Source organism: Homo sapiens, chromosome 5, assembly GCF_000001405.40.
Source record: "Homo sapiens chromosome 5, GRCh38.p14 Primary Assembly".
NCBI classification, from domain to species: Eukaryota; Metazoa; Chordata; class Mammalia; order Primates; family Hominidae; genus Homo; species Homo sapiens.
Window position 1 is genome coordinate 60,843,208 of NC_000005.10, and position 22,943 is coordinate 60,866,150.

The 22,943-nt window shown below is 42.2% G+C and overlaps 1 protein-coding gene across 8 annotated transcripts in view, besides 3 other annotated features; it reads right to left on the reverse strand.

Annotated features, from left to right (window-relative positions):
- ELOVL7 (ELOVL fatty acid elongase 7) overlaps positions 1-1,062 on the reverse strand; it is a 92,479-nt gene extending 91,417 nt beyond the window's left edge. For 5 of the 8 annotated variants that reach the window (NM_001104558.2, NM_001297618.2, NM_024930.3 and 2 more), the window contains exon 1: positions 953-1,062. Coding sequence is in view for 1 of the 8 variants with exons in the window: in XM_017009888.1 (XP_016865377.1) it covers positions 215-840 (626 nt within the window). In the remaining 7 variants the exon portion in view is untranslated. Of the gene's footprint in view, positions 1-214 lie in introns of all 8 variants that reach the window. The other 3 variants (XM_005248606.6, XM_011543651.4, XM_017009888.1) reach the window with 3 other exon arrangements.
- Positions 734-793: a silencer, noted in NCBI's record as "silent region_16040". NCBI's record gives its function as "represses an Ori minimal core promoter by ATAC-STARR-seq in GM12878 lymphoblastoid cells {active_cell/tissue: GM12878}" and the evidence as "EXISTENCE:reporter gene assay evidence [ECO:0000049][PMID:35858748]".
- Positions 804-963: a silencer, noted in NCBI's record as "silent region_16041". NCBI's record gives its function as "represses an Ori minimal core promoter by ATAC-STARR-seq in GM12878 lymphoblastoid cells {active_cell/tissue: GM12878}" and the evidence as "EXISTENCE:reporter gene assay evidence [ECO:0000049][PMID:35858748]".
- Positions 984-1,283: a silencer, noted in NCBI's record as "silent region_16042". NCBI's record gives its function as "represses an Ori minimal core promoter by ATAC-STARR-seq in GM12878 lymphoblastoid cells {active_cell/tissue: GM12878}" and the evidence as "EXISTENCE:reporter gene assay evidence [ECO:0000049][PMID:35858748]".

Below are 22,943 nucleotides of genomic sequence, written 5' to 3' on the forward strand. Positions count from 1 at the left end.
GCGGGACTAACTACACTGGGAGCAGGACAGGTGTAAAGACCCGCTCCTTCCCGTCCCGAGTTCCCCAGGGAGCTCCAAAGAGCGCTCTGTCCGCACCGGGTGAAGTTTGAAACAGCTCTGACTTGAAGGGGGAAAGCCCATTTCCCAACGAACCTGGGAAAGCCCATTTCCCAACGAACCTGGGAAAGCCCATTTCCCAAAGAACCAACGATACCTGGGACGACAAAACAACAGGCTTTCCTGTTTCCATCTCCGGCACGACCTGTTCCACGGCTCTGTATTCATCAGCCTCCTCCCGGCCAGCAGCAGCCACCAAGACAGGATGCGGCTCGGGGAGCCGAAGGGACAGCGCCCCAAGTTCATCTGGCCGCGGGAGCAAAAAAAGCGCCCAAAGGGGAAGGAAGGAAACAGAAAGAAAGGGGCTCCGGAATTTGGGGGGGTGGCTAGCGAGGCCAGACCCCGGAGCTGGGAAAATGACCTCCGCGTCCAAGGTCGAGCAGGTCCTTCTCCCTCCCAGTCCCGCCGGCGAGCACCTCTGCCCCTCCCGCTCCGCTCCGCAGGGCCAGCGCCGCGCGGGACCCCAGTCCAGGCTCCGCTCCGCAGCGCGCCCACCGGGCCCGACCTTCCCTTCGGGATGCTGCCGGGTGGGGGCTCCCGAGAAGGCGCAGGTGAGCGCCGCGGCCCCGCGCTCCGGCGAAAAGGGCCTCGGTCCTCCCCACGCGCAGGCAGCGGGGACAGAACTTCCCAAGCGCCTCCCGAGCCCAGGGAGGGCCTGGCCCCGCTCCCGGGGCCCCCGCACCCGGGTCCCACTTCTCGCGCGCCGCGCCCAAGTTCCTCCATCCGGCCACTCCCGACGCCGTTCCCCTCGGCTCTGCCTCCCTCCCCAGTCTCTTCTCCTCCGCGCGCCGGGAAAGTTTGGCCCCTGCCCGCCGGCCTGGAACCCCGCACTCACCGCACAGGGAGCGGAGCCGAAGCGCCGGGCGCGCGCGGGAGAGAGGGCGGCGACTGGCAGCGCGAGCGCGGAGCTCCTCACAGCGGCCCCCGCTGTCCCGGCCGCCGACTGGGTTGGAAAGGGGAGGAGGCCGCCGGGTGTCACCTGCCCGCTATCCCACCCAGCCGCGTGACGCGCGCAGCGCCGCCCCCTGCCCGCCGCCGCCAGGTGCCCGCCGAGGGCCGGAGGGAGGAGCCGGGGCGGCGCGAGGGGGAGCGGCCGGGAGGGCGGAGGCCGCCCCGGCCTCGCCTCCGCCGCGCGCCCTGACTCTCGGGACTGGGGCCCACCGGCCGCTCTGGGTTAGCGGGGCTGGTCGTGGCACCGATGACCTTTCTTTCCGAGAGCAGATGCCATCACTTGGGGGACATCTCCAGGCTGACATAGCAGAGTGGAAATTGTCGTCATGCGTGACTCATTTGGGAATGAGCAGTAGAAAAATCCGAAATGAGGAAAACCTAGCTGAGGCTGGAGGCGGAGAAAAAGGGGACTCCTTGCTTCTGAAAGGGTATTGGGAGGGTTAATTCGCATCTGAAATGGAAGCCAGACCAAGAGGAGAAGGCCCTGGGAGGGGAAGGCCGACTTGGTTCAGCTCCATCCCCTGCTTATAAGGAATAAGAAACTAGAGAATTGAGGCAGCCTGGGGGGCATGGGGAGAGGACTTTTAGAGCAATGAAGATTAGATTGTATATCATCTAACTTTGTTTCTGGTAACAGCAACTGCTGCAGGAAAAAAAGTCTAGAAAATTCATTTCTCGTTACCTACTGTTGGATTGGAAAGTGGGGGTGGGGATGAGCGTTCGGAGTGTGCACCTGCGCTTGGTTTATTTATTTTTTAAACGTACCTGGCCTTGTGTCTGGTAATGATCCTCCTAATCGCTGGTATGATTTGGATCATCAATAGCTGAAAGGCAAAATAGGGGCCTAGAGAAGTTCCCTGCTTCTGAGGCAAAACCAAAGGCTGGTGTTGAACTGTCCAGAAACCTAAAAAACAATAATCATTTTTAGTTGCAGTCCTGACCCAACCACCTCACAAATGTGGGCTTTGAGTTTGTATTGCGAGTTCTCAGCATGGAATCAAGAAACACAAAAAGGGGCTGGGAGCGTCAGGACCACCAGAGAGGATGGGTAGGGAGAAAAAAAAAATTGGGGTGTCGGAAGCATATTTTCCTCACATGTAGGGATTGCCTTCGGCAGCTTAATCCCACTACATTAAACAAGAGGTTTTAATGTTTTTATGTAAAACTTCGAAAGTGTCCATTGAAAGAAAAGCAAAAAAAAAAAAAAAAAAAAAAAAAAAAGCTTAAATTGCAAAGAATCTCGAAGTCAAAAAAACTAAAGATTTCTCCTTTCTTTTAGATAACTTTGCTTTCATATTAAAAACAGATCATTTAGTAGACTTAGGAAGTCTTTTGGGAACGGGAGACAATTGCCTAATGATACTAGCCTTTGAGTCTATCACAATTTACCATTTATATATACTTATGAAATTTCAAATATGCAGAAGCTCAAATGGATTCATTTATTTAACAAATACTGGAGTGCTGCTATGTTCCAGGCCCTGAAGTTTCAATAGATAACAAATTCCCCGTTCTCAGGGACTATACGTTCATTCTAGTTGGAGATGACAGACAATACATGAATAAAGAAGTAAAAAAAATGTAGTGTTCAGCCAGGCGCAGTGGCTCACGCTTGTAATCCCAGCACTTTGGGAGGCCGAGGCGGGCAGATCGTGAGGTCAGGAGTTCGAGACCAGACTGTGCAATACAGTGAAACGCCGTCTCTACTAAAAATACAAAAATTAGCCGAGTGTGGTGGTGCGTGCCTGTAGTCCCAACGACTTGGGAGGCTGAGGCAGGAGAGTCGCTTGAACCTGGGAGACAGAGGTTGCAGTGAGCAGAGATCTCGCCACTGCACTCCTCCAGCCTGGGCGACAGAGCTAGACTCTGTCTCAAAAAAAAAAAAGAGGAAAAAAAAGAAAAAAAATGTGATGTTCAGGGTTTGATAAGTGCTATGAAGAAAAATAAAGAAGGGAAGGGGATGGAGACTTTTGGAGGTGGGGAGTTGTGTTAAATGTTAAAGTGGTTAGGGAAGGCCCCAGTGGAAGCAGGCATTTCAGCCCAGATTTTGAACAGGTAAGGTGACACACCTGTGTGCCTATCCAGTAACAGCATTCCACTCAAAGGGAATGGCAAGGCTAAAAGCTCTGGGGGTGTGGTGTGGGATATTCCATTCATAGACCAGCAAAGGGGAGATGTCAGATGAATTTCAGTGAGTGAGGACAGTAAGAAATGAGGTCAAAGAGTTAAGGAAGCATTTTGAGTAAAAAACTGTCATACTTTGACATTTTCAAGAGTATTTTGGCAACTTTTTTGAGAATAGGGCATGGGGTATGGAGGCAGAGAAGAAGGACAGAAGTAAGACGATGATCAGGAGGCTCTTGGGAAATCCAGATGAGAGATAAAGGTGGCTTTGACCAAGTTGGTAGTAGTGAAAGAAGATTTAAAAAAATACATTCTGAAGGTAATATTAACAGGATTTCCTGAGAATTTGATATGGGCTATGAGAGAGAGAAAAAAGAGGTCAAGGATGACTCCAGGGTGTTTGCCTTGGGTAACTCGAAGAAAAAAAATGCCATTTACTGAAAGAAAAAAAAACTGTGAAAGAAAAATGTAGGGAGAAGGGCAGGTCAGGAGTTGTTTGGCATTGCTTTAATTTGAGATACCTGTTACCTATCTAAATGGGAATGAATGTCAAGTAGGTAGTTGATTACACTAGTCTGGAGGTCAAGAAAGAGAGGTCTGGGCTAGCAATATAAATCTGGATGTAGTCAGTTTCCAGATGACACTGAAAGGCATGAGAATGGCTAAGAGCACCAAGAGTGAGAATAGAGAAGAGATTATCCCTCCTTTCCCCATTTGCTAAATTCTCACACACGGGGTTCTGTGTTTAGGCTCTTGATTCCATTCCACTGTCTATGTGTCCTGCCTTATATTTTCTTTTACTTTTACTATTTTATGTAAATGTGAAAAGAAGCTTTCTTTCTTGTTTTCAATGAAAAGCTATGGCAGGATTTTTATTTTAATTGTCTTAAAGTTATTTAGGGATAACCTGTCATCTTTATGATATTGAGGTGACCCATCCATGAACATATATCTCCATAGTTGGTCTTTCACATATTTTATTATGCTTATTCTTAGGAACCTTATAATTATTGCCACTACTATCAACGTTTTTTTTTTTTAAGACAGGGTCTCACTCTGTTGCCCAGGCTACAGTGCAGTGACACAATCATAGCTCACTGCAGCCTTGAACTTCTGGGCTCAAGCGATCTTCCAGCCTCAGCATCAGAGAAGCTAGGACTACAGGCATGCACCACCATGGGGGGCTAATTTTTTAATTTTTTGTAGAGACGGGATCTTGCTATGTTTCCCAGACTGGTCTCAAACTCCTGGTCTCAAGAACCTCCTTCTTCAGCCTCCCAAAGTGCTGGGATTACAGGTGTAAACCACCGTGCCTGGCCTGGTATATGTATTTTTAAATTACATTTTCTAAATGTAAATATAAGAACGCTAATTTTTGTTTAATGGTTGTAAATCCTTTGTCTTTACTAAATTATTAGTAATTTGTAGAGTGCCTCTGGTATTCTCTTGAGGCAACGATAACCCTTGTGAATAATTACAATTTTTTTCACTATATTTTATTCTTTAAGAGAAAATTGAACCCTGTCAACTTCTTACTCTATGTCAGTATCATATGGATTTAACTTTTACCAGTGATTCTTATACTTTACTGAGAGTCACAATGCTTGGGATGTTATGCAAGTTCCTGAAAATTATTTTGAGATGCTGATTTAGTGAGTCTGGAGAGTGGGCCAAGGAATGTGCATCTTAACACACGCTCTTAACTGATTCTGTTAAGAGTTGCTGAGACACCTTACATGTGACCTATCTTTTCTGATACTTATCATTGCCTCCCCAGCTGTGCTATAAGCCCTAAAGGGAAGATATTTTATCTACTCTCTCTTTATATCTGTGGTGCCTAGGATATTAGCCTACAAACAGTGGGTGCTAAATAAATATGTAGATGGCAAAAAGAAATTTAGAAAAGTTGTGGAATGTACTTTTGTGAGTTTCATATTTAAATGCTTTAAAATGTTTTCCTATTTTTTTATATAGATTTCATAATGATAACTCTGAGAGATAATGATAACTCTGATATCATCAGAGGAAGAACATAATTGCAATATGATAGGTTCATTGAGTAAATGACTATCAACCATTCCCACATCTTGTTTCTTTACCACAAGGTATCTGTAGCCTGCCAGACTTAAAGGCTTCATCCTTTTAATTTTTTTTGGCATTGAAATGCAAACTATGAGTTTCAGAAAAATCATTTTCTTTCTGGTAATCCTGTTCACATATCTAAGATATATGTAAAATTAATATCTCCAAGACAATGTGAGATACAGAATGAGAACATCCCTCAAGTTATTATAACAATCAATATAATTATTTTCCTGTAAACCTCAGTTATTTGAAAATACTCATGATTTTTGACTGTGAAGAATTGCCACTTATTATGATCATGAAATTAACTTTGATCTGACTTCAAATATTATAAAAATGCTTTCTGTGCCAACTATATTATCTGAATGTTTATTCAATCAGTTTATCTTGATATCACAGTTTTGTGAAGGCCAAATCTAACATAATAGTATCTAGTTAAAATTCTCATGTCCTACATTTCATAATAATAAACTGCTCTTCAAAGAGATAAAACTACTATCATAATTTACATTTTATTGCATGGGTAAATAATATACCATCAGGAAAAACTATTTTAGAAATTTAATGGAAACAATAAACAAGAAAACATAAAAAATATTTACACTTTAAAACTCCATTTAACTCTCATGAGTTTTGGGACTTTGTACTAGACACTATATGTTATTTATACTGCATGTTACTCATAACTTTTTTGTGCTATGTGTTACTCTAAGTTTTATGTAATAATAGTTAACTGATGTCTAATGTACCTCATAGGTTTACATAACAATTTATCAAATGGAGGCTCTGTTTTCCTGGAGGAGTTTCATTTATGCTAGGGTGGTGTTTCCCAAATTAGCCTGATTTTAATAATCACTGAGGATAAATGCTAAAAAACACAAATTTTGAGGCCCCTCCAGTACAAGGCCAGCCATACTTTGGATGGCAATGAAATAACCAATGAAAAGAATTTCAATGAGTTTTATCTGTGTCTTTTAACATTGTATATTTTATTTTTATTCCCTGGATATGCCTGCTTTTGGAGAGATAGCCTGTATACTTTATTATCAATCCTGGATGATTACTTTCTTGGATAATCATTACATTTTTAGTGTAGTGATTGAAAGGCTTATCAATTTGGGGTAAGAAAAAAACAAAGAATACTTTTATTAATAGGCTATCACATTTTAGAAGATTTTATAAAAACATTAGGATTTACATATTAGATTTTACATATTCTATGATACTCTGTTAAAAAAAATTTTTTTTAGGGATGGAGTCTCACTATGTTGCCCAGGCTGGAGTGTAGCAGCTATTCACAGATGCAATCATAGTGCACCACAACCTCAAATTCCTGGGCTCAAACAATCCTCCTGCCTCAGCCTCCTGAGTATCTGGGACTAGAGGCATGTGCCGTCATGCCCAGCTCTTAAATTTTTTATAGGTTTTGAATATTTCCAAAAGACTTCTTGTCTTAGTCTGATCAAGCTGCTACCACAACTGAGTAGCTTATAAACAGCAGAAATGGATTTCTCACAGTTCTGGAGGCTAGGAAGCCCAAGATCAAGCAGCTAGCACATTCAGTGTTTGGTGCAGTCCTTCTTGATTTATCAATGGCTCTTTCTTTTCTTTTTCTCCCTCCCTCCCTCCCTCCTTCTCTCCCTTCCTCCCTTTCTTTCTTCCTTTCTTGTCAGGGTCTTACTCTGTCACCTAGGCTGGAGTGCAGTGGCACAATCACAGTTCACTGCAGCCTCAACTTCCTGGGCTTAAGCAACCCTCCCACCTGAGCTTCCCAAGTAGCTGGGACCACAGCATGCACCACCACACCCAGCTAATTTCTGTATTTTTTTGTAGGGATGGGGTTTTGCCATTTTGCCCAGGCTGGCCTCGAACTCCTGGGCTTAAACCATCCTCCCACCCTGGCCTCCCAAAGTGCTGGGATTATAGGAATAAGCCACTGAACCCAGCCCTGATGGCTCTATGAAAGGAGAACCTGGGGCCTCTTTTATAAAGGCACTAATACCATGTGTGAGGGCTCCTATCCTCATGATCTAATCATCTCCAAAAGGCCCTCCCTCCTAATATCATCACATTGGTGATTAGGTTTGAACATATGAATTTAGGAGGACAGAAACATTCAGACCATAGCAATGCTATCCTAATAAAATTGTGGTAAGCAAAACGAGGCACTGGGGATTACACACACACACACACATATATATAATTTATTTTTTTTAAGATGGGAGTCTTGCCCCATCACCCAGGCTGTAGTGGAGTGGCGCAATCTTGGCTCATTGCAACCTCAACCTCCACCTCCCAGGTTCAGGCAATTATCCCACCTCAGCCTCCGAGTAGCTGGGATTACAGGCGCCCACCACCATGCTCGGCTAATTTTTGTATTTTTAGTAGAGACGGGGTTTTGCCATGTTGGCCATGCTGGTCTTGAACTCCTGACATCAGATGACCTACCTGCCTTGGCCTCCCAAAGTGCTGGGATTACAGGCATGAGCCACCGAGCCTGACCTAGGGGATTATATTTATTAGACAATATTTGTGAACCTTGGGTGCATACAAAAATATCAAATTAGTCAAATTATTTTTACTTGTCCAAGGAACATAGTCTTTGATTGAAATGTACATTTTAAACTGTTATTAGAATGTTTTTATTTTACAGTTTAAGGTATGTTTTCAAAATGATTTATCATGGTATAATCTGTAGTCAGTTAATCAGTGTTTACTGTAGTCAGTCAATCAATGTTTACTTTTGGCATAAATGACAGTGGAGGCCAGCTTTTAAAATCAGACTGAGTAGAGATGAGCATATATGTGTTAGTGACTGATTTCCTTTTTTTATTTTGAGACAGAGTTTCGCTCTTGTTGCCCAGGCTGGAGTGCAATGGCATGGTCTCAGCTCACTGCAACCTCCACCTCCCGAGTTCAAGCGATTCTCCTGCGTCAGGCTCCTGAGTAGCTGGGATTACAGGCGCGTGCCACCACGCCCGGCTAATTTTTCTGTATTTTTAGTAGAGACAAGGTTTCACCATGTTGGTCAGGCTGGTCTCAAACTCCTGACCCGTGATCCGCCTGCCTTGGCCTCCCAAAGTGCTGGGATTACAGGCGTGAGCCACTGTGCCTGGCCATGACTGACTTCCTAAGTGAAGAAAAGAAATTGTGAATTGCTTTATATTACTCATGTTTCTTTTTCTTTGGCATAGATCATCAAGACCTGACCCTGCAAATGGATGTGATTTAAAAAATGGTATCTTTTATCTCTGTTGTTCTTGGTTTTATATATCCATTTAATGCATTTAAAATGAGTTCCCTATCTATTTTTAAGCAATTGTGCAGATAAAGCATTCTAAGAAATGAGAGTGAAGGAGCTGTGACATATCCCCCAAAGCAAAGTTTGTGAGTCATTTAGTTACAGCTCATTTGTTTCAGCTGTTTTTTTCTAGATTAGCATGAGGAAAAATTAGACTTGTTCAGAAAGCTTAAGAAAATAGTTATTGTAAGGGAAAACAGTGATGGGCATAGAAATGGCCAGATTCTTTTCTATATTCTATCCTATTTTTAAGAGACAGGGTCTTGCTCTGTCGTCCAGTCTAGAGGGCAGTGCAGTAGTCATAGCTCACTGCAACCTCAAACTCCTGGGCTCAGGTGATCCTCAGGCGAGTAGCTGAGACTACAGGTATGAGGGTATGAGCCACCACACCAACTTGTTGTTGTTGTTGTTTTTGTTGCTTTTAGATAGGGTCTTGCTCTGACACCCAAGCTGCAGTGCAGTGGTATGATCTTAGCTCGTTGCAACCTCTGCCTCCTGAGTAGAAATGAAAAGCATGCCCACTCACAGCTATAGCAGATGATGGCTAGCTATTCACTAGATTTGTTTCCTCTTTCTCCTGGGCACGCAGCTGGATTATATCTCCCAGTCTTCCTTACAGTTTAGCAGTGGCCATGAAAGTGAATTCTGGCCAATGGAATTCGAGCAAAGTGTTGCTTGTCCCTTCCAGGCCTGGCTCATTCACATTTAACAGGTGAAATCCTGTGTGTTCTTTCTCCTGCATCACCCTGAAGGAAGCCTTATATGCTGAATGTGGTGGAGCCACAAGATGGAAGGGATTCTGTGTTCTCAAATTACCCTGTGGAGGGGAAGGATCTTCTAGGAATTATAAACAAATTTATAGTGCATTAAGCCTCTGAAACTTTGTAGTTAATCTGTTACAACTGTTAGCCTGCCTCAAGTGATAAAATACTCAGAGAAGATAGTACTCAGAGAAGGATTTACAGTTTCACCCTGCAGAAAGCAGGAAATGGTTAGCTCTTCCTTTGGCCTTTCCTTGATATTTTGCTAGGTAAGGGCGGACAACCTCTTGATATTCTTCCTTAATGGACTAGTTTTCCTAACTTTACCTTATTACAGTAGCCTCTTAACTAGCTCCCTGCTTCTGTTGTTGTCCTCTGCCCTTAGAGTTTATTATCAAAACAATGACCAGACTGACCTCAGGACGTTCTGCTAAATCCTCCAAGCTTTCCATTTGTTTGAAAAATAAGCCAAAGTCTTTTCAATGACCTACAAGAGCCTTTGTGATCTGCCACCTCTCCCTATTACCTTTTATCCTTATCTCCTTTACTCTCCCTTTCTGCTCAGACAGATACACCCACACAGATTTCCTTGCTATCTCTTGGACCCGGCAGGCATGCTTTAGCCTCAGGGCTTCTGTGCTTGTTCCCTCTGCCTAGAATGCTCTTCTCCCAGATACCCACATGACTTGCTCTTTTAAATCCTCCCGATGTTTGCTCAGAGAGGCATTTTCTGAGCATGCTATTTAAAACTAAAACTCCTCACATTCTCTATTCCTCTCTTCTACATTATTTTTCTACGTAGCACTTATCACCTAACATACTATACACATTTCCTCTGAAATATTGTTTATTGTCTGCCCCTCTCCACACCCCAATTAAAATGAAAGCTTCATGAGAATTTTTGACCTTTTTTTTAAAAACAGTTGCCCATCTAGAGTAGCACTTGGCAAACAATAATACATTTTTTAAAAAATAATTAAATGCTATTATATAGATAAGCAAAGTATGCCAAAGGAACACTAAAGAGAAACTCCTAATTCAAACTGGTTCTGGCAGGGAAGAACTTTCTGGAGAAATTTGCTCCTCTGCCAGGACTAAGGGGTGATGTAGTTGTTGCGAGCATGAGACAGTGGTCACGTCTTAGTCCTCATCTTAGCTGACCTATCATCATCATTTGACACAGTTGATTACGGTTTTCTTGAAATGCTGCCTTCACTTGACATCAGGGATACCACACTTGCCTGGCTCTTCTCCTTTTTCTGGAAATTCTTTTTCAGGTTCTTCACCAATTTTTCCCTCATCTTCCACCCCTAAATTTTGGAGTGCTCCAAGGTTCTGTTCTTAGCTGTCTTCTCTCATCTATCTGCACTCATACTTCACGTGATCTGAGTAAGAAAAGGCTTAAATGCCATCTCTATAGTCATGATTCCCAAATGTGTTTTCTAGACTGTATCTTTTTCTTGAATTCCAGATTTGTATATCTGAGTGCCCACTGGGCCTCACCATTTGATTAATAATTTGTATCTCAAACTTAAATGTCCAAAACAGAGCCACTGATATTTCCCCTTTTTGTAGTCTTCTCTACCTCATTCAATGGCAACTCTATTCTTTTGGTTGCTCAGGCCAAAATCCTTGGAGTCATCTTTGACTCTTCTCTTCCTCTCTGCCAACTCTTCAAAATATATCTAAAACCACTTCCCACCATCTCCACTGCCATCATGTTGGTACCGCCACCGTCATCTCTTGCTTGGAATATTTCAATAGCCTCTTAACTGATTTCTTTGATTCTGCTTATTGTTCCCTTAGTCTCTTTGGGCTGCTATAACAAAATATACTAAGCTGGGTGGCTTCTAAACAACAGAAATTGATTTCTTACAGTTCTGGAGGCTGAGAAGTCCAAGATCAAGACACTAGCAGATTTGGTGCCTGGTCAGGACTAGTTAGCTGTATGGTTCATAGTGGTGCCTTCTTGCTGTGTCTTCATGTGGTGGAAGGGGAAAAGGCAGCACTCCGTTCTCATGACATTATCACCTCCTAAAGTCCCTACCTCCTAATACCTTGGTGATTAGGTTTCAACATATGGATTTAGGGGAGACACAAACAATCAGACCATAGCACTTCCCTTCAGCCAATCCCCACTCTGACACCAGAGTTCCCCTGTTAACACCAAAGTCAGATTATGTCTCTCCTTTGCTCAAAACCTTCCAATGGCTTCCTATCAGCCCTATAGGTACCTACAAGGCCCTTCTTGACCTGAGATAATCTGTAACCACTATCCCCCTAATTATCCTTCTCCATTCAGCTTTCTTGCTGATCCTTGGACATGCCATTGTGCTCTTATCTCAAAGGGCCTTTATACTTGATACTCCCTTTGTCTGGAATGTTCTTTTCTGAGATATCTACATGGGTAAGTCCCTCACTTCCTTGAGGTCATTACTCAAAATTCACCTTTCTCAATGAAGCTTTTCCTGGATACCCCATCTAAAATTTTAATGCTATTCCCTCCTCCCACTTCCCATTCCTTTTCTCTGCCTTTTTTTCCTCCTTTGTAGTTTCAATAATATACCTTATTTTACACATTTACATTGTCTTTTTCCTCCACTTCAGTATAATAAGGCCATATGTGCTCAGTTTTTCAAGCCTGCGTCTTTCTTATATTATGCCTATTTCTGCAGTCACAACTTTAAATTCATGCTAATAAACATCCACTCTCGAGGGGAATGTTTGAGCATAGGTAAGGATTTGGTCTGTTTTATTCACTGGCACTTAGTTGGAGCTCAACTTGTGAATGAATGATTCAATAGATGAATTTGAGCTGGTAAAACTGTTTCCTTAGTGAGTAAGGGTCTTTCCACCCCTAAGATTTATTGGATTTATGAGTTGTTTAGGCTATGAAAATTTTTTGAATTGCTTGTCAACATCTGAAAATTTCACAGTTTCATATAAAAATATGAATTTTTCATTTCTCTTTGAATAATGAGCATTTCTAGCTACAACAGGCCCACATTCCCACATGGTGTAAGTTAGCTGGAGCTGAGTAGTCAAATACCATAGACTGTTGATTACTCCCCAGTCTCTGTTTTCTTTTTTGGGAATAGTAATGGAACTCCCAGGTTTTCACTGAGGACATGGCCACCTGGAATAAAGATAGCTTCCTTTTCAGTTAGCTGTGACCAGGAGTTCTGGCCAATAGGATGTCAGTGAAAATGGTGTGTGAAACCTCTGGGAAGTGTTCCCAAAGCGAGGGAGCATGTCTTCTTCCTTCTTCTCTTTCTTGTGGGGTTGGAATGTGGATATAATGATTAAAGCAATCACCTTGTACCACAAGGAGGAAGCTGTTGAGAGAGGGTGCAAGAGTCATCTGATAGAAAGAGCCTAGGTTCCTGATGATCTTGGAACCAGCATACCAACTGAGGACTACTTTCCTGGATTTTATCAAAATAAACTTATATTCTATTGTACCTATGTTATTTTGGGTTTTCAGATAAACCTACTTCTAATTCATGAGAGCCATTGCCATTGGGCAAGTGTTCTTAAGTTTGTCGTAATTCCCACCACTACCTAATGTCTCCCTAACATTGATGGGGAGCTGCCATTTATCATCACATCACCATACTGTTTTTCTCTTTATTATAAATGGGACAGTGAAAGACTGCATAGCCATGTGTTTCAAAAGAAGAGCACATGTCCTTGTGGAAGTAGAGATTGTTACTACATGACTAATACTGCACACCAACTATTAATGGACTAATTGCACAATTTAGGAAGTTATTTGGAAACAAAATACAGTAAGAAATATGACCAGAATAGTAAAGACATGTAATGAGAAACTTAGCTTAATGAAAAACTCAATGAACTGAAAGCAGGGACTAGAATTACAGCACATTTTTTTTTCATAAAAATACAGTAAGTGGTAATGGTGCAAAATATATTTAATGAAAAAATTTTCTTGGCATGAAAACCTTGTGCCAATGATGGATTTATAAAAAGGTTGACTGTAGCAAAAATTGTGTCCTGAACAGAAACTAATATTTGCAAATAGAAGTTTAACCAGGTATAATATTTCTTAGTATGGTGACGCTGGGGTGAAGGGACTTATACAAAGTTTCATGAAAAGGTTAAATTATTTGTAGCTTTTTTTAAGCTAATAAGAGTAGAGATATAAAATATATAAATACCACCCAGGTAGCTATAGTCATTTGTGGTATCAGAAAGGTTTTAAGTGTTTGAATAACTCTTTTTTTTTTTTTTGAGATGGAGTTTTGCTCTTGTCGCCCAAAATGGAATGCAATGGTACGATCTCGGCTCACTGCAACCTCCACCTCCCAGGTTCAAGTGATTCTCCTGCCTCAGCCTTTTGAGTAACTGGGACTACAGGTGTGCACCACCACGCCCGGCTAATTTTTGTATTTTTAGTAGAGATGGAGTTTCGCCATGTTGGTCAGGCTGGTCGCGAACTCCTGACCTCAGGTGATCCACCCGCCTCAGCCTCCCAAAGTGCTAGGATAACAGGCATGAGCCACCACGCCCGGCCTGAATAACTTTTTAAAAACTTTTTTTTTTTTTTGAGATGGAGTCTCGCTCTGTCGCCTAGGCTGTAGTGCAGTGGTGCGATCTTGGCTCACTGCAAGCTCCGCCTCCTGGGTTCATGCCATTCTTCTGCCTCAGCCTCCCGAGTAGCTCGGACTACAGGCACCCACCACCACGCCCAGCTAATTTTTTTGTATTTTTAGTAGAGACTGGGTTTCACCGTGTTGGCCAGGATGGTCTCCATCTCCTGACTTTGTGATCCGCCCACCTCGGCCTCCCAAAGTGTTGGGATTACAGGCGTGAGCCACTGCGCCCAGCCTAAAAACTTTCTTTAAAACAGGGTCTTGGCCGGGCGCGGTGGCTCACGCCTGTAATCCCAGCACTTTGGGAGGCCGAGGCGGGCGGATCACGAGGTCAGGAAATCGAGACCATCCCGGCTAAAAGGGTGAAACCCCGTCTCTACTAAAAATACAAAAAATTAGCCGGGCGTAGTGGCGGGCGCCTGTAGTCCCAGCTACTTGGGAGGCTGAGGCAGGAGAATGGCATGAACCCGGGAGGCGGAGCTTGCAGTGAGCCGAGATCCCGCCACTGCACTCCAGCCTGGGCGACAGAGCGAGACTCCGTCTCAAAAAAAAAAAAAAAAAAAAAAACAGGGTCTTGCTGTGTTGGCCAGGCTTGTCTCAAATTCTTGGCCTCAAGCAATCCTCCCACCTTGGCCTCTCGGTGTTGGGATTACAGGTGTGAGCCACTGTGACTGGCCTTGAATAACTTTTGAACATTGTGACAGCAGTGGGTACATCAGGAAATCATTTTTGTGTGTTGAGTGAAGTGCTTATAAACAGGACTGCAGGAGGTACTCCAGCAAATCAATGTTAACACTGAACTTGGTTTACAAAATGTAAACCCACAGAGGCAGTTTGCACAAGTCATATGACGTTTGTATCATAATTCAATAGGAGTAAAGTTTAACTGAAAAAGAAAACATGTCATGAATGCAGTAGCTCATCGTATGAAATGGATGTGCTACCATGGTTTGAACCACAGGAGGCATATCCATGCTTTACTTGATAAATTGTGCACAACAGAAGAGGTACGAAACTGAAGAGATATTTTCTTGGATGGTTGTGAGAAATTGGTTTATGTTGTCTAAAGCAAATGTTAAAGATTTAGTCAAAGATTGTGCCTTTGGTTGAGATTATATACACTCTATTTCTCTGCAAGTATGTTTATAACGAGTTACACAAATGAGCGTATGTTCATAACCAGTTACATACACTATTTTTCTGCAACTATGTTCATAACCATTTTATTGATCTAATTTCTAGCCAAACTGTGTCTTTGGGAAGTTCAGCCAGGAAAAATCTGGCCTTTCATATGCAGAAGTTATTTTCCAGAAATTTAAGTGATGTTTACCCCTTGGGGAGCTAATAACTGAATTCCAAAATAGTTATTTGGTTTTAAAATTTATAAAAATGAAGAAACTTGGATCGGTTTGCCTTTTTTCTTTTTCTTTTTCTTTTTTTTTTTTTTTTAGATGGAGTCTTGCTCTGTTGCCCTGGCTGGAGTCAGTGGTGCAATCTCAGCTCATTACAACCTCCGCATTCTGGGTTCAAGTGATTCTCCTGCCTCAGCCTCTGAGTAGCTGGGACTAAAGGTGTGTGCCACCATGCCCAGCTAATTTTTAAAACATTTTTTTATTTTTAGTAGAGATGGAGTTTCACCATGTTGGCCAGACTGGTCTCGAACTCCTGAGCTCAGGTGATCCACCTGCCTCGGCCTCCCAAAGTGCTGGGATTACAGGCGTGAAACCACCATGCCCGGCCCAGGTGGATATTTTAAATGTATATATAAAAAAAAAAACCACAAAAAACAAAACTGAGCAAGGAAATCTATTTTAGAAAAACTGTATCTGTGAAAAACTTTTTTATTTATTTGAATAAAATATTGATCCCAAATAGGGCAGGAGAAACTGTCACATTTCTCTGGTTCAAGGCAAAAATATTTATAGAAGAAAAATATAATCAAAATACCTATTTTTAATTGGATATTTGAATTTTACATCAGAAAATTAAATCTCCAATATAGTTATGTTACATGCTTATACCACAGTACAATACAAATAAAAAATATAATTCTTACATTTGCTACGCCGACTCCTTCATTAATTTACCATGCCCTTTGTGAGGATTTGAGACTGTGAGCCTTCATCTTACCTATCCTGTATTTTTTTCTGGGTACAAAGCAGTGACCTGAAACATATAGACTTTTCAGAATGATTTGTCATTTTTCCATAATGGAGGAAAACAAGAGCAGAAAGTCCAGAACTTTAGAGTCAAGGGCAATGGAGAAATTCAGTTCAACCATAATATTACCAAATGGGAACAGACTAGAAGTGAAGATCTTATAAAAAATCTGAACTCAAGATTTCCTAAAGTTCTTTTACTTTTGTTTAGCTGTTGAGAGTCACAAGGCAAGTCTCAATATAGCCTGTCTACGGGAGAAAATTACTAAGCCCCACAGAGCCCACTAGAAAGATGCAGGGAGGATCTATGCTGGGAGTACAGGCCAATAGCACCTTTGAGAATAGGACCCTCTGCCATACTGTGAGAAGAAAAACTACAAGATTAATGTGATATCCAGCTTATCAACTAGTATTTAATAACACTTAAAAAATTCATACATCATAAATTACAGAAATAATAATTAAGAACTGAATCATTTGTGAATTGTGAAGTAGAACTGTTGGTTCGTAGTTAAGTGCTTGGTAATTGTGTTGTTCACTAATTAATTAAAAAATATATATATTTTTTGGCATCAAGTATCTGCCAAGCAGTGTTCCAGATGCTGGAGAGCAGTGAGAACAAAAATCTCTGCCCTTATGGGGTATACATTTTAGAAGGGAGAGAAAAGACTAAATAAGCAGATCATGTCCTGGAAAAGGTGAAATTTGAGTGAATTTTGACAAGAGCTCAGATCCCAAAAATCCTGAGATTTTTAAGTAAAAAGAGTTCTATTGGCTGGGTGTGGTGGCTTATGCCTGTAATCCCAGCACTTTGGGAGGCCGAGATGGGCGGAACACAAGGTCAGGAGATCGAGACCATCCTGGCTAACATGGTGAAACCCCATCTGTACTAAAAATACAAAAAATTAGCCTGGCATGCTGGCAGGCACCTGTGGTCCCAGCTACTTGGGAGGCTGAGGCAGGAGAATGGCGTGAACCTGGGAGGTGGAGCTTGCAGTGAGCCGAGATCGTGCCACTGCACTCCAGCCTGGGCGACAGAGCAAGACTCCGTCTCAAAAAAAAAAAAAAAAGGAGAGAGGAGCCAAGATGGCCGAATAGGAACAGCTCCGGTCTACAGCTCCCAGCGTGAGCGACACAGAAGATGGGTGATTTCTGCATTTCCATCTGAGGTACCGGGTTCATCTCACTAGGGAGTGCCAGACAGTGGGCGCAGGTCAGTGGGTGTGCACACCGTGCACGAGCCGAAGCAGGGCGAGGCATTGCCTCACTCGGGAAGTACACGGGGTCAGGAAGTTCCCTTTCCTAGTCAAAGAAAGGGGTGACAGACGGCACCTGGAAAATTGGGTCACTCCCACCCGAATACTGCGCTTTTCCGACGGGCTTAAAAAACGGCACACCAGGAGATTATATCCTGCACCTGGCTCGGAGGGTCCTACGCCCGTGGAGTCTCGCTGATGGCTAGCACAACAGTCTGAGATCAAACTCCAAGGCGGCAGTGAGGCTGGGGGAGGGGCGCCCGCCATTGCCCAGGCTTGCTTAGGTAAACAAAGCAGCTGGGAAGCTCGAACTGGGTGGAGCCCACCACAGCTCAAGGAGGCCTGCCTGCCTCTGTAGGCTCCACCTATGGGGCAGGGCACAGACAAACAAAAAGACAGCAGTAACCTCTGCAGACTTAAATGTCCCTGTCTGACAACTTTGAAGAGAGCAGTGGTTCTCCCAGCACCCAGCGGGAGATCTGAGAACGGGCAGACTGCCTCTTCAAGTGGGTCCCTGACCCCTGACCCCCGAGCAGCCTAACTGGGAGGCACCCCCCAGCAGGGGCACACTGACACCTCACATGGCTGGGTACTCCGACAGACCTGCAGCTGAGGGTCCTGTCTGTTAGAAGGAAAACTAACAACCAGAAAGGACATCCACACCAAAAACCCATCTGTACATCACCATCATCAAAGACCAAAAGTAGATAAAACCACAAAGATGGGGAAAAAACAGAGCAGAAAAACTGGAAACTCTAAAAAGCAGAGTGCCTCTCCTCCTCCAAAGGAACACAGTTCCTCACCAGCAACGGAACAAAGCTGGACGGAGAATGACTTTGACGAGCTGAGAGAAGAAGGCTTCAGACGATCAAATTACTCTGAGCAATGGGAGGACATTCAAACCAAAGGCAAAGAAGTTGAAAACTTTGAAAAAAATTTAGAAGAATGTATAACTAGAATAACGAATATAGAGAAGTGCTTAAAGGAGCTGATGGAGCTGAGAACCAAGGCTCAAGAACTATGTGAAGAATGCAGAAGCCTCAGGAGCCAATGCAATCAACTGGAAGAAAGGGTATCAGCGATGGAAGATGAAATGAGTGAAATGAAGCGAGAAGGGAAGTTTAGAGAAAAAATAATAAAAAGAAATGAACAAAGCCTCTGAGAAATATGGGACTATGTGAAAAGACCAAATCTGCGTCTGATTGGTGTACCTTAAAGTGACGGGGAGAATGGAACCAAGTTGGAAAACACTCTACAGGATATTATCCAGGAGAACTTCCCCAATCTAGCAAGGCAGGCCAACATTCAGATTCAGGAAAAACAGAGAACGCCACAAAGATACTCCTCGAGAAGAGCAACTCCAAGACACATAATTGTCAGATTCACCAAAGTTGAAATGAAGGAAAAAATATTAAGGGCAGCCAGAGAGAAAGGTCGGGTTACCCTCAAAGGGAAGCTCATCAGACTAACAGCGGATCTCTTGGCAGAAACCCTACAAGCCAGAAGAGAGTGGGGGCCAATATTCAACATTCTTAAAGAAAAGAATTTTCAACCCAGAATTTCATATCCAGCCAAACTAAGCTTCATAAGTGAAGGAGAAATAAAATACTTTACAGACAAGCAAATGCTGAGAGATTTTGTCACCACCAGGCCTGCCCTAAAAGAGCTCCTGAAGGAAGCACTAAACATGGAAAGGAACAAACAGTACCAGCCACTGCAAAATCATGCCAAAATGTAAAGACCATTGAGACTAGGAAGAAACTGCATCAACTAATGAGCAAAATAACCAGCTAACATCATAATGACAGGATCAAATTCACACATAACAATATTAACTTTAAATGTAAATGGATTAAATGCACCAATTAAAAGACACAGACTGGCAAATTGGATAAAGAGTGAAGACCCATCAGTGTGCTGTATTCAGGAAACCCATCTCACATGCAGAGACACACATAGGCTCAAAATAAAAGGATGGAGGAAGATCTACCAAGCAAATGAAAAACAAAAAAAGGCAGGGGTTGCAATCCTAGTCTCTGATAAAACAGACTTTAAACCAACAAAGATCAAAAGAGACAAAGAAGGCCATTACATAATGGTAAAGGGATCAATTCAACAAGAAGAGCTAACTATCCTAAATATACATGCACCCAATACAGAAGCACCCAGATTCATAAAGCAAGTCCTGAGTGACCTACAAAGAGACTTAGACTCCCACACATTAATAATGGGAGAATTTAACACCCCACTGTCAACATTAGACAGATCGAGACAGAAAGTCAACAAGGATACCCAGGAATTGAACTCAGCTCTGCACCAAGTGGACCTAATAGACATCTACAGAACTCTCCACCCCAAATCAACAGAATATACTTTTTTTCAGCACCACACCACACCTATTCCAAAATTGACCACATAGTTGGAAGTAAAGCTGTCCTCAGCAAATGTAAAAGAACAGAAATTATAACAAACTATCTCTCAGACCACAGTGCAATCAAATTAGAACTCAGGATTAAGAATCTCACTCAAAACCACTCAACTACATGGAAACTGAACAACCTGCTCCTGAATGACTACTGGGTACATAACGAAATGAAGGCAGAAATAAAGATGTTCTTTGAAACCAATGAGAACAAAGACACAACATACCAGAATCTCTGGGACGCATTCAAAGCAGTGTGTAGAGGGAAATTTATAGCACTAAATGCCCAGAAGAGAAAGCAGGAAATATCCAAAATCGACACCCTAACATCACAATTAAAAGAACTAGAAAAGCAAGAGCAAACACATTCAAAAGCTAGAAGAAGGCAAGAAATAACTAAAATCAGAGCAGAACTGAAGGAAATAGAGACACAAAAAAACCCTTCAAAAAATTAATGAATCCAGGAGCTGGTTTTTTGAAAGGATCAACAAAATTGATAGACCGCTAGCAAGACTAATAAAGAAAAAAAGAAGAATCAAATAGACGCAATAAAAAATGTTAAAGGGGATATCACCACCGATCCCACAGAAATACAAACTACCATCAGAGAATACTACAAACATCTCTACGCAAATAAACTAGAAAATCTAGAAGAAATGGATAAATTCCTCGACACACACACTCTCCCAAGACTAAACCGGGAAGCAGTTGAATCTCTGAATAGACCAAAAACAGGATCTGAAATTGTGGCAACAATCAATAGCTTACCAATCAAAAAGAGTCCAGGACCAGATGGATTCACAGCCGAATTCTACCAGAGGTACAAGGAGGAACTGGTACCATTCCTTCTGAAACTATTCCAATCAATAGAAAAAGAGGGAATCCTCCCTAATTCATTTTATGAGGCCAGCATCATCCTGATACCAAAGCCGGGCAGAGACACAACCAAAAAAGAGAATTTTAGACCAATATCCTTGATGAACATTGATGCAAAAATCCTCAATAAAATACTGGCAAACCAAATCCAGCAGCACATCAAAAAGCTTATCCACCATGATCAAGTGGGCTTCATCCCTGGGATGCAAGGCTGGTTCAATATAGGCAAATCAATACATGTAATCCATCAATATAGGCAAATCAATAAATGTAATCCAGCACATAAACAGAACCAAAGACAAAAACCACATGATTATCTCAATAGATGCAGAAAAGGCGTTTGACAAAATTCAACAACCTTCATGCTAAAAACTCTCAGTAAATTTGGTATTGATGGGACGTATCTCAAAATAACAAGAGCTATCTATGACAAACCCACAGCCAATATCATACTGAATGGGCAAAAACTGGAAGCATTCCCTTTGAAAACTGGCACAAGACAGGGATGCCTTCTCTCACCACTCCTAGTCAACATAGTGTTGGAAGTTCTGGCCAGGGCAATTAGGCAGGAGAAGGAAATAAAGGGTATTCAATTAGGAAAACAGGAAGTCAAATTGTCCCTGTTTGCAGATGACATGATTGTATATCTAGAAAACCCCATTGTCTCAGCCCAAAATCTCCTTAAGCTGATAAGCAACTTCAGCAAAGTCTCAGGATACAAAATCAATGTGCAAAAATCACAAGCATTCCTATACACCAACAACAGACAAACAGAGAGCCATATCATGAGTGAACTCCCATTCACAATTGCTTCAAAGAGAATAAAATACCTAGGAATCCAACTTACAAGGGATGTGAAGGACCTCTTCAAGGAGAACTACAAACCACTGCTCAAGGAAATAAAAGAGGATACAAACAAATGGAAGAGTATTCCATGCTCATAGGTAGGAAGAATCAATATCGTGAAAATGGCCATACTGCCCAAGGTAATTTACAGATTCAATGCCATCCCCGTCAAGCTACCAATGACTTTCTTCACAGAATTGGAAAAAACTACTTTAAAGTTCATATGGAACCAAAAAAGAGCCCGCATCACCAAGTCAATCCTAAGCCAAAAGAACAAAGCTGGAGGCATCACACTACCTGACTTCAAACTATACTACAAGGCTACAGTAACCAAAACAGTATGGTACCAGTACCAAAACAGAGATATAGATCAATGGTACAGAACAGAGCCCTCAGAAATAATGCCGCATATCTACAAGTATCTGATCGTTGACAAACCTGAGAAAAACAAGCAATGGGGAAAGGATTCCTTATTTAATAAATGGTGCTGGGAAAACTGGAAAGCCATACTTAGAAAGCTGAAACTGGATCCCTTCCTTACACCTTATACAAAAATCAATTCAAGATGGATTAAGACTTAAATGTTAGACCTAAAACCATAAAAACCCCAGAAGAAAACCTAGGCATTACCATTCAGGACATAGGCATGGGCAAGGACTTCATGTCTAAAACACCAAAAGCAATGGCAACCAAAGCCAAAATTGACAAATGGGATCTAACTAAACTAAAGAGCTTCTGCACAGCAAAAGAAACTACCATCAGAGTGAACAGGCAACCTACAAAATGGTAGAAAATTTTCGCAACCTACTCATCTAAGAAAGGGCTAATATCCAGAATCTACAATGAACTCAAACAAATTTACAAGAAAAAAACAAACAACCCCATCAAAAAGTGGACGAAGGATATGAACAGACACTTCTCAAAAGAAGACATTTATGCAGCCAAAAGACACATGAAAAAATGCTCATCATCACTGGCCATCAGAGAAATGCAAATCAAAACCACAATGAGATACCATCTTACACCAGTTACAATGGCAATCATTGAAAAGTCAGGAAACAACAGGTGCTGGAGAGGATGTGGAGAAATAGGAACAGTTTTACACTGTTGGTGGGACTGTCAACTAGTTCAACCATTGTGGAAGTCAGTGTGGCGATTCCTCAGGGATCTAGAACTAGAATACCATTTGACCCAGCCATCCCATTACTGGGTATATACCCAAAGGACTATAAATCAGGCTGCTATAAAGACACATGCACACGTATGTTTACTGCGGCATTATTCACAACAGGAAAGACTTGGAACCAACCCAAATATCCATCAATGATAGACTGGATTAAGAAAATGTGGCACATATACACCATGGAATACTATGCAGCCATAAAAAATGATGAGTTCATGTCCTTTGTAGGGACATGGATGAAATTGGAAA